Consider the following 12,832-nt stretch of genomic DNA (forward strand, 5'->3'; position numbering starts at 1 on the left):
TAAAATGGTTTAGGATTTGGCAACAGGAGCCCTGGGAGTCAGAAGACAATAGAGAAAATTATTTCCAAACTAGAATTTTGTACTCTGGCAAAATATCAAACAAGTGTGAGGGTAGAAAATAAAGACATGTTTAGTTATGCTACAAATTTCTCAGGAAAGTACTAGAAATTGCACTCCACCAAAACAAAGTAAACCAAGAAAGAGAAAGACAGGGAATATAGGAAACAACATACCACAAAGAGAGACCGGGCAATCCCCAAGTGATAGTGAGGCGAAAGTCAAGATTTACAGCGCTACGAAACCGGCACATGTGGACAGTCAGCACAGACAACAGCAGGCCAGAAACTCCAGGAGACCTTCATAAATAACAAAAGAATGAATTAAGAGTAGAAAATGGTTTTCTTCTAGGATGAGTATCTGGAAGAATATCTAGAGAGGCAGAGAACTGCTTTATTGTGTTTAAAAACAATTTATCTGTTGATTCTTTAAACTATATGCATATGTAATTTTGATAAAAATAAATGAAGTGAATGGGGATTGAATGTAAATGGCCTAAATACCCCATTTAAAAGGCACCAGAGTGACAAGTTGGAGAAAAATAAGACCCCAAGGTGTGCTGTCTTCAAGAGAGCCATCTCATATGCAGTGACATCTATAGACTCAAAATGAAAGGATGTGGGAAAATCTAGCAAGCAAATGGAAATCAGAAAAAAAGCAGGGTTGCAATCCTAATTTCAGACAAAACAGACTTTAAGCCAACAAAGATACAGAAAGACAAAGAAGGGCATTATGTAATGGTAGAGGGTTCAATTCAACAAGAAGAGCTAACTACCCTAAATATATATGCACCCAACACAGGAGCACCCAGCTTCATCAAGCAAGTTCTTAGAGACCTACAAAGAGACTTAAACTCCCTCACAATAACAGTAGGAGACTTCAACACTTCACTGATAGTATTAGATAGATCATCAAGGCAGAAAATTAACAAAGATATTCAGGACCTGAAGTCAATATTGGACCAAATGGATCTGATAGACCTCTACAGAACTCTCCACCCAAAAACAACACAGTATATATTCTTCTAATCATCACATGGCCCATACTCTAAAATTGACCACACAATTGGACATAAAACAATCCTCAGCAAATGCTAGCTAGAGCACTAAAATCATACCAAACCCACTCTTGGACCACAGCACAATACAAATAGAAATCGAGACTTAAATTTTTTTTCAAAACCATGCAATTATATGGAAATTAAGCAACCTGGTCCTGAAATGACTTTTAGGTAAATAATGAAATTAAGGCAGAAATCAAGAAGTTCTTTGAAACTAATGAGAAAAAAGATACAAAATACAAGAATCTCTGGGACACAGCTAAGGCAGTGTTAAGAGGGCAATTTATAGCCCTAAATGCCCTCATCAAAAAGTTAGAAAGCTCTCAAATTAACAATCTAACATCACAACTAAAAGAACTAGAGAAGCAAGAACAAACCAACCCCAAAGCTAGCAGAAGACAAGAAATAACCAAAATCAGAGCTGACCTGAAAGAGACTGAGACATGAAAAGCCAGGTAAAATATCAACAAATCTAGGAGTTTATTTTTTGGAAAAATTAATAAGATAGGTCACTAGATAGACTAATAAAGAAGAAAAGAGAGAAGATCCAAATTAATACATCAGAAACGACAAAGGGGATGTTACGACTCACCCCACAGAAATACAAACAATCATCAGAGACTACTACGAACACCTGTGGCACACAAACTAGAAAATCTAGAAGAGATGGATAAATGCCTGGACATGTGTATACGTTTCCAAGACTGAATCAGGAAGAAATTGATTTCCTGAACAGACCAATAACAAGCTCCAAAATTGAACCAGTAATAAATAGCCTACCAACCAAAAAAAAGGCCAGGACCAGACAGACTCACAGCTGAATTCTACCAGATGTACGAAGAAGAGCTGGCACCATTCCTACTGAAACTATTCAAAAAAATTGAGGAGGAGTGACTCCTCCCTATTTCATTCTATGAGGCCAGTATCATCCTCATACAAAAACATGGCAGAGACTCTACAAAAAAAGAAAATTTCAGCCCATTATCCTTGATGAACATTGATTCAGAAATCCTCAACAAAATACTTGCAAACCAAATTGAGTAGCACATCAAAAATCATATCCACCATAATCAGGTAGGCTTTGTTCCCGGGTTCCAAGTTTGGTTCAACATACGCAAATTAGTAAATGTGATTTTTCACATAAACAGAACTAAAGACAAAAACCACATGATTATCTCAATAGATGCAAAAAAGGGTTTTGATAAAATCCAACATCCTTTCATGTTAAAAACTCTCAATAAACTACGTATTAAAGGAACATACCTCAAAATAAGAGCCATCTATGACAAACCCACAGCCAACATCATACTGAATAGGCAAAAGCTGGAAGCATTCTCCTTGAAAACTTACACAGGACAAAGATGTCCTCTCTCACCACTCCTATTCAACATAGTATTGGAAGTCCTGGCCAGAGCAATTAGGCAAGAGTGAAAAATAAGGGAAATCCAAATAAGAAGAGAGGAAGTCAAACTATTGCTCTTTGCTGATGACGTGATTCTATATCTAGAAAACCCCATAGTCTCGACCTAAAAGCTCTTTCAGCTGATAAACAACTTCAGCAAAGTTTTAGGATACAAAATCAGCATACAAAAATCACTAGCATTCTCATGCACCAACAATAGCCAAGCTGAGGGTCAAATCAGGAATGCAATTCCATTCACAATTGCCATAAAAATAATAAAGTACCCAGGAATACAGCTAGTCAGGGAGGTAAAAAATCTCTGCAATGGGAATTACAAAACACTGCTCAAAGAAATCAGAGATGCCACAAACAAAAGGAAAAACATTCCGTGGTTGTGAATCAGAAGAATAAATATTATTCAAATGGCCATACTGCCAAAGCAATTTACAGATTAAATGCTATTGCTATCAAACTATCGATGACATTCTTCACAGAACTAGAAAAAGCTCTTAAAATTCACAGGGAACTAAAAAGCTGGAGGTATCACGTTGCTCAACTTCAAACTATAGTACAGGGCTACAGTAACCAAAACAGCATGGTACTGGTACAAAAACAGATACATAGACCAATGGAACAGAATAGAGAGCCCAGAAATAAAGTCGCACACCTGCAACCATCTGATCTTCGATGAAGCTGACAAAAACAAGTAATGGGGTACTGGGTATATACCCAAAGGATTATAAATCATGCTGCTATAAAGACACATGCCCACGTATGTTTATTGCGGCACTATTCACAACAGCAAAGACTTGGAACCAACCCAAATGTCCATCAATGATAGACTGGATTAAGAAAATGTGGCACATATACACCATGGAATACTATGCAGCCATAAAAAATGATGAGTTCATGTCCTTTGTAGGGACATGGATGAAGCTGGAAACCATCATTCTCAGCAAACTACCACAAGGACAAAAACCAAACACCGTGTGTTCTCACTCATAGGTGGGAATTGAACAATGAGAACACTTGGACACAGGAAGGGGAGCATCACACACCGGGGCCTGTCATGGGGCAGGGGGAAGGGGGAGAGATAGCATTAGGAGATATACCTAATGTAAATGACGAGTTACTGGGTGCAGCACACCAGCATGGTGCATATATATATGTAACAAACCTGCACGTTGTGCACATGTACCCTAGAACTTAAAGTATAAGAATAATAATAATAAAAAACCAACCCCCCCACCCAAAAAAAATCACTTCATTTCTAATTCTCAAATAAATTCAACATATTTGGAAAAAAAAAAAAACAAGTAATGGGGAAAGGACTCCCTATTCAATAAATGGTGCTGGGATAACTGGCTAGCCATATGCAGAAGATTGAAACTGGACCCCTTTCTTACACCATATACAAAAATAAACTCAAGATAGATTGAAGACTTAAATATAAAACTCAAAAGTATAAAAACCCTGGAAGACAACTTAGGCAATACTGTTTTGGACATAAGAATAGTCAAAGATTTCATTATGAAGACACCAGAAGCAATCATAACAAGCAAAAATTGACAAATGGAATCTAATTAAACTAAAGTGCTTCTGCACAGCAAAAGTAACTATCAACAGAGTAAACAGACAACCTACAGAATGGGAAAATTCTTTTGTAAACTATACATTTGACAAAGGTCTAATATCCAGCATCTATGAGGAACTTAAATTTACAAGAAAAAACAACCCCATTAAAAAGTGGGCAAAGGACATGAACAGACACTTTTCAAAAGAAGACATCCATTTGGTCAAAGAGCATGTGAAAAAAGATCGATATCACTGATCATTAGAGAAATTCAAATAAAAACCACCATAAGATACCATCTCACACCAGTCAGAATGATTATTATTAAAACGTCAAAAAATAACATGCTGGCAAGGTCGCAGACAAAGGGGAACATTTACACACCTTTGGTGGGAGTGTAAATTAGTTTAACCATTGTGGAAGGCAGTGTGGCGATTCTTCAAAGACCTAAAAACAAATACTATTCGACCCAGCAATCCTATTACTGGGTATAAACCCAAAGGAATATAAATCATTCTACCATAAAGACACAGGCACACGTATGTTCATTGCAGCACTGTTCACAGTCTCAAAGACATGGAATCAACCTAAATGCCCATCAGTGGCAGACTGGATAAAGAAAATGTGTAATACACACACACACACACACACACACACACACACACACCATGGAATACTATGCAGCCATAAAAAAGAACAAGATCATGTCCTTCACAGGGACATGGATGGAGCTGGAGGCCGTCATCCTTAGTAAACTAACACAGGAACAGAAAACCAAATACCACATGTTCTCACTTATAAGTGGGAGCTAAATGATGAGAACACATGGACACAAAGAAGGGAGCAACAGACACTGGGACCTATTTGAGGGATGTGATGAGGAGGAGGGAGTGGATGAGAAAAAATAACTATTGAGTACTAGGCTTAGTAGCTGGATGATGAAATATTCTGCACGACAAACCCTCATGACATGAGTTTACCTATATTACAATCCTGCACATGTACCCCTGAACATAAAATAAAAGTTTAAAAAATGGTGACTTTTATAGTAGCATTGACATGGCCCCATATGAATAAATTGTGAATATATATTTTCAATGCTTACCGAGGTTTTAAAAAACATTTCTAAATAATATATGCAGGTTTGCTATATTGAATAGTGATATACAATAGTTTAGTCATTCTCAAATGTAATTGGTACATATGCAATCTTTTTGGGTCAGCCAACTTATCAAATTACATACTAGTAATAATGCCTTACTTACCTTTTGCTTGGTAGCCCAGGTGAAATGATAAACCTGTTTCAATTCAGGCCCCAGTTATAGTAATTACATTCAAATCCTAAACTTTATCAATTTCTCCAAAAGGAATTAGATCAAAAGATTCAATAGCTTTCTCTGAGATTGAACTGGCTTATGCTACTGGTCTTTAATAAGTAATAAATAGAATAGAGGAAGCAATATTGCCTGCTTTTAAGTTTTTGAGCATATTTTCAAAATGAAGGTGAATTAATAGATTCATTTTTTGCTCTCAATTTGTTTTTAGTGGTGGGCATGTTAAGCTTGAAGAAGATGTAGATCTTGGCTATGTGGAAGATGGGACACCTTGTGGTCCCCAAATGATGTGCTTAGAACACAGGTGTCTTCCTGTGGCTTCTTTCAACTTTAGTACTTGCTTGAGCAGTAAAGAAGGCACTATTTGCTCAGGAAATGGAGTAAGTATCCAGTACCTTGTCAGAATCTATTTCTTTTATATCACAGAAATAGACAGGACCCTAAACTATTTATTTTTCTTAATTATGGAAAAAAATGATTTTTCATATTTCTAGTTGGTATATAAATACTAATTCAATTATAGTTATTTGAATATTTCTGTTGTATAATCTGAGAAAGCCTGGGGATAAGGAAATGAATAATCTTTCTAACCAAATTCTCCCATCCTTCTTTTCTGTGTTACTATGATCTCATATAATATAATGCCAACTTTTTACAAGTGAACTAGGAGATAAATTTTAACAAACTATAATGGGATTTTAAGAAAGAGAATAAAAATTGGATGTGATGGCCACAGTATTTAAAAACGATGTGGTCTGGGCACTGACAAATCTCAACAGACTTGTCAGATTGTACACACTGCTGTAGCCACACCAGCGTGTACAAGCTGAGGATAAGTCCTAGAAATAAAAACAATAACTTAGGGAAATGTTTCTTACAGATGAGTAGAAAAAAACGGCATTTGAAAGACTTTTAATTCTATTCTTTAAGTTATATATTCTTTCAGTTATATATCAGATAATGTGTATCCTGTACAGGTAAGTTTACAGGTTAAATATTCATCCTCTACTAGGGATAAAGTTTTGTCAGTTTCAATTAGGAATTCCTATACCATCAAAAAAGAGTTTGTTCTATTTCTTTCAGCATGTGCTATGGCATTCTTTTTATTTTTGTTCCAGATTCTTTGCTTGAACTGTTGTATTATCCAGTTAAGATAAAGGATCCCTGTTTTGGAATTGTAAGCCTTCATTCCTGGTCTTTCCATGCTTGTCCTCAGGGATATTCCAAGAATTTATTTAGGGAAGTAACTAATTGTTACTTCTTGCCAAAGCATAGGAATTCTCATGGCATATAAGAGTAGAGCAGACATGTACTAAGTAGCTCTGCTCCTATGAAGGAGTCTTCCAAGTCTTCTTTTCTTAATCTAAGAGGATGTTAGGGGATAAGAGGAAAAGAATAATGGAATTTTTCTTGATCATCCATGCTAATGAATAAGCATGTCTTATCCATCTTAAGATTCTGAAACAAAACACAAGAGACCAAACATAGTTGTGCTTGGTAAACATTTGTTTAATTAATTAGTAAAAGAATAATCAATGCAAATAAATCAGATGGCAAATCAACATCCAGATAATTTACAATAATTATGCATAATATAATTATGTATTCACAATAATTATGCATAATTATATTTGGGGTAATTTTAACTTACAGCAACTCTATATTTGTGTCAAAAAATTAATATAAGAAAAATTAATACAAGTAAATATTATTTTTGTACTATATATCATGTAGTTAGGAGTGTGGGCTTGCAATCATATAGCCTGGGTTTGAATCCCAACTCTGCTTTTTATTAGCTGGGTAACATTGGGCAAATTTCTTCGCCTTTGTGACTCAATTTCTTCCTCTGTAAAATGGAGATAATAATAGTGCCCACTTTAAAGAATTGTGCGAAGAAGGAGTTAACTTGTAAAACACTTAAAACAAGACTGGGATATGGCAAGTGTTCAATAAATGTAAGCTATGCTATTTATTATGATTACTGTATACTGGGCATCATTGTCTGTTCTTGTCACTATATCGCTGATACCTGACATATGATATAGCAACTGATGCTTGAAGAAGCCAGGCGACCTGATTAAGGTCCCTTAGTAAGACAGGAGTGATATGGTGAATCAAATCCAGGCCTTTTGATTTTAAGCCTAAACCTTTTTCGTTCTGCCTATTTGTTAATCTGTAGCTCTGATTGAGGCTGTGTTATAGTTACATTTAGATGTGGATGTATGTTATGTTCCTGAAAATTAGATCAGACAAGACAGAAACCCCTGTAGTAAAAACCTGTCTCAGGAGGAACTTTGCTCATCTTCAACCTAACTTAACTCTCTCCTGCTTCTCTACTCAAGGTTGTTTTGAATTAGATTTAGGTGTATATTCTGTTTCCTGAGTGGACTAATGAAGAGAGATTATTTTCCTATAATATAAAAAAAAATGGTGTCAATTTTATATGAATCTTTTTTCTATACTCAATTCGTGGGAGTTCTTAGTTCCCCTGACCCTGACATAGCTAGTATCTACAGCATGGGTTGAAGTGCTAAGGTTGTATAGCCTTGTGGAACTTTCTTCTCAGCCCACTGCAAAACATCAGGTCTCCCCTCTTCATCAGACTTTTATTTCATTTTGCTTCCTAAAAAATGAATAACATTTTTGCATGAAGACCCTTACTATGGAAGGAAGGAAACCTTTGTATTAGATAATTGACAGATGATTATATTTCTGCTTAGCTTTTTAAATCTTCCTTATAAAATTTAAGTTAGTGAAAGTCAAAACAATAATTTCTTTGATTTTTTTTTTAGATGTAGATCAATTTCTCTGTTAAAATTCATCGTTCCCTTTGGGTCAGTTGTTGGTCTCTAGGAAACATTTGCTTGAGGTACTGGAGGGAGAAATAATGTAATTAGTATTAAGAAGAACATACTAATAATTTTTTGGAATTACCACATTCTAAGCATATAATAATAAGAAATTAGTGTTTATTTTTCATGCTTCTGTACCAGAGAGTTGACATTTACTCTAGCTTGATTTTGGATCTCAGGTTTGCAGTAATGAGCTGAAGTGTGTGTGTAACAGACACTGGATAGGTTCTGATTGCAACACTTACTTCCCTCACAATGATGATGCAAAGACTGGTATCACTCTGTCTGGCAATGGTAAGTACTTAATTTGGTAACATTATGTAGTCTTTATACACAAAGAGAAAGCTGCTCTCTGAAAACTTTTATTTGAGTTATTTTTATGATAATCAGAAATACATTCTCATAATAATGAATTATACAACTGGGGTCCATTTTATGAAACTGATTATGTCCATTAAATTGTAATGATATGTAATATTACGTATAACTTAGTCTATTTGATTTAGCCTTATCTTGTCCTACTTCATTCTGAGATTTTTCTGAGGCTGTCAATTAACCCTAACATTTCTTTCAAATGTGGAAGTAGTCATAACTCTTAATTGTGTGCATTTAGAGGAATAATTTTATATTTTTGAACTGAATAAAGAAGAAACAATTAAAGAATTGGTTTTAAAATATTTTAATATTCTTTATTATAGAATCTCATTGTTGTTCAACCCCAGTTCTGTAGCCTGAACTGGCTACAGTTAGTAATCCTGGCCAAGGTTCCTGGTGGGGCTTTAAGAACATGGATAAGAAATAACAGGTGCAGTCCTAAAAGCTAGGGTGGCCCAAATGGGGGTATAGAAATCAAATGCAGACAGTTGAAAGAACTTATACATTGGAGGCAAATGTCCCCCTTTAAAATATTTCATCATTTCATTATTGAGTATTCTTTTATACAAGATAATGCTCAAATCCTAAAGTTCAGTCACTTTCAAAGGATGAGAAAAAAGGAATATGTTCATTCTAATAGTCCAGAAAGGGTAAACAGTTTTAGCTAATATGACTTTTATAAAGAAAATCATAGGATGATTAAGATTTTAGAGTCCCTAGTCTTAGCAGTGGTAGTGTGGAGCTTGTTCCAGTAATTAATTCAAAGACAATAATATTTAGATAGATGGATTTAAATGACGTGTCAAAAGCCATACCATTACTTAGAAATAAACAAGACTAACATCTAAGTTTATTGATCCCTGTTAAGTCCCTGGAAAAAAAGGAAGGGGGGGCAGACATGCTAGGTCTTGAAGTAAGAAAATTCTAGTGACCCAAGGAATCCTCTGGCATTTGCATCTGTGCATCCCACAGAGGACCTGGCAGGTTGGAGTCCACTAGTCTGCTCAGATGACCTAGCCCTGCTGTCTGACATGAATTCTGAGGGCTCCCAGACAGAGAGACTGCCACTACTATCATGGAGAATTGAAATCTTCTCAAGTAGCCCATGACTCCTGACCTCTGATGTATAAAAGGATGCCTCAGGAGTGGAGCAGGCAAAGATGGATCTAAGCTACTCTGGATGAAAGCTCTGCAGTTAACCATGTGGCACAAATCATTATCAGCAAAACAGGCCTTCTGGTGTCAGAGCCAGGCCTCATTCAGATCAGCCTTTTCTGCCTTTGAGCCCTCATTTGAGCTTATTGACCAAGCCTTTGACTCATGGTGCCATTCTGCTGTGATGATCCCCTTAAAGATTATATCTCAGCCTGCCTGACAATGGATACTGGCACAACAATGCCATCACTGTGTTCTGAGCTTCAATCCCGCCCTGGATTCTGCCTGCCTGTCTCTCTGCCAGTGTGGTGCTGCCTCTCCTGCCACATCAGCTCCAATCCTCCAGCTCACTCAACTCTTTTTCCTCTGGGGTTTCCTTCTCTAGAATGCCACAGCCATCATTGCCCAGACGGGGAATTACAAGCCCAGTGTTTCTATCACCTACATCACCTGGGCAGTAATCACAGAAGTCTGTGGACATGTTTTCTCCCTTAAGAAGCTTGTATTCACTTTGAGAGAGACAAAATATAACACACACAAAACCGAGAGCAGTAAGGACCTTGCGTTAGTTGTCAAAATGGAGTGATATGCACAATAACATTTCTAGAATTTCTGAGAAAGAGGTAAGGATCAAAAGGAACACAGATTTTCTACAAGTTCCTCCCTAAGTTTCATTACTCTTCCCTCTTTTAGTTTAATGACATCATGGTTTCTGGAAAATACAACTGTGCAAAATGCACTTGGACAAGAATTAAAAAGGACATTTGCCAAAAATTATTTTTAAAACAACTGATATGGATTGCTGAATTATGGTTGATTTTTTCTTTCCTTTGAAAAATACTCATTTTTGAAAACAAACAGTGTTGTTAGTGTGATGATTACAAAACTGAACAATAAAGTTTCTGAAAGGATTTTATACCACTGATCTTCCTTCTTTCTTTTTTTTCCTCTCAGGTGTTGCTGGCACCAATATCATAATAGGCATAATTGCTGGCACCATTTTAGTGCTGGCCCTCATATTAGGAATAACTGCGTGGGGTTATAAGTAAGTGAAATGTCTCAGTCTTGTTACTATTGAAATATACTTCTAAACATTTTGATTACATGAAAACATCTAGAAAGTTTTGTATCATTGGTTGAATATACTTGCAATGAAAATCAGCTTGGCTCAGCAGCCAGTCAATGCTTATTCTTGGCATGGCGAGAAGTGATAATAACATCATTTTTTAGATTTTGAGACAACTTCCTTCTATTGTAAAAGAACTGAGTATTATTTAAAAATCCTTGAAGTGAATTGAAACCAGTCTAAATTTGTAAAAACTGGTAAGTTGTAACTTTTGAAGAGAATTTAATAACCTTAAACATTTTGCTCAGTAAAGGCCTTCAAACATTGTAAACTTATTTATCTATCTAATGTGTTCAATTTTCTTTTCATGATTTATATAATCTGAAAAGAAACCAGAGTATTCAATTTCCTTTTTAAGTGCTTTAATCTTATGATGTGAAAAATTTCTTTGTATTCAAATAACTAATTTAAGTTTAATAAGTTAAAATGTAAATATAGTAAACCTTAAATTTTCTTTAATATTTCAACTTAAAATCATATTCTGCTGATCCTTGATGATGATGTTCCAGTCCACAGGCCTGGGGTTTTTCTCCATTTGGAAGGCCTGCAGCTTGTGCTAGGCATTCTGGGCATTACCTCATTTCATAGCACATTTTTCCTCATGGATCAAACTTAGGTAACTCAAAGTTTTGGGAATTAGAATCAAAATTTTAGACATTTACCCCATGCCTTTTAATGGACTTGCCTTTGTTCCATAAGTTAATATATGTCAAACACTCAAAGTAGTACCTGGCCCACAGTAAGCACTATGTAATTGTTTGCTATTATTATCACTTAACATGGTCTTAAACCAATTGCACCAAAGGAAACATCTTTATAGTGTACATGGTAATTGCTTGTGAGGTCAAAACCATCAAAGAGTTTCTTTGGCTAAAAAGGGAGAGCAGTTAGTTTACTGGCAGGATAAGCTTTGTATGCTGCAAGCATTAATAATACAGGCATTTGTGGAAGACTATATATTAATGAGTAGCGCAGAGAGCATATTACAGTTTGGCAAAACATTACAGTTTGACATGGCATGTCATAGTGAAGGAGAGTACAGCACAGTAGTAAGCTTTTCCCTGATTAAATGAGCATCTAGCCCTGTACCATGTAGTCTTCCACAAATTCTTGTATCATTAATGCTTGTAGCATACAAAACTTATCCTGGCAGTAAACTAATTGCTCTCCCTTTTCAGCTAAATAAACTCTTTCATAATTTTGACCTCACAAGCAATTGCCATATATACTTACAAAAGTGTTACCTTTGGCGCAGTTGGCTTAAGACCATGTTAGGTGATAATAATAAGTTCATAGCAGATGCTTAAAACCTATGGGCCTCTTTGGTGTGCAGGTTACTGGGTGTATTTCACCTCAGCATAACATTTGGAGTTATCAAATCATATATCTGATAGGAAGGCTTCTCTTTTTGTCATTTGATTTCTCCTCACACCAGAAGCAAATTAGCTCTGTGTTGGAATCACACCATTTCTCCAAATTAATGCATGATTTAAGTAGTAATTGTCATCACAAGCATTATTGTGTTGAAGTAGCTCAGTTGTTTCATTTGGCTGTGTGAAAATGGAAAGAAAAAATTGTTCCTTCTGGAGTGTGTGATTTTCTGCCACCTAGTGATGGAAGTGGATATTTCATTTTTACAATCTTGGAAAAACCTACCTTTTAGAAACCTAAACGCTCATATTACTTATTAAATTATGTGTCTATTTGCCTTTATTGATTAGAATGAAAATCACTTTTTTTCTGCAGGTGACTTCTTATTTTTATGGCATTCTTTTGAGATCTGTTCATTCCTCAATATATACACTTTGCAACTTTAATAAGATCCACTTAGCTGGAAACTCATTTAAGTTGATTTTAGCTTAAGGAAAAAGACACACCTTGTGCATACTACAGTATCT

The 12,832-nt window shown here is 35.7% G+C and overlaps 1 protein-coding gene across 32 annotated transcripts in view; it reads left to right on the forward strand.

Moving 5' to 3' along the window:
* ADAM22 (ADAM metallopeptidase domain 22) overlaps positions 1 to 12,832 on the forward strand; it is a 268,639-nt gene that overhangs the window by 223,124 nt on the left and 32,683 nt on the right. For all 32 annotated transcript variants that reach the window (XM_017012330.3, NM_001391975.1, XM_017012335.3 and 29 more), the window contains 3 exons: positions 5,638 to 5,806; positions 8,458 to 8,572; positions 10,763 to 10,853. In XM_017012330.3, the coding sequence (XP_016867819.1) occupies positions 5,638 to 5,806; positions 8,458 to 8,572; positions 10,763 to 10,853 (375 nt within the window). The remainder of the gene's footprint in view (positions 1 to 5,637; positions 5,807 to 8,457; positions 8,573 to 10,762; positions 10,854 to 12,832) is intronic.

Source organism: Homo sapiens, chromosome 7 (assembly GCF_000001405.40).
Source record: "Homo sapiens chromosome 7, GRCh38.p14 Primary Assembly".
Lineage (NCBI taxonomy): Eukaryota > Metazoa > Chordata > Mammalia > Primates > Hominidae > Homo > Homo sapiens.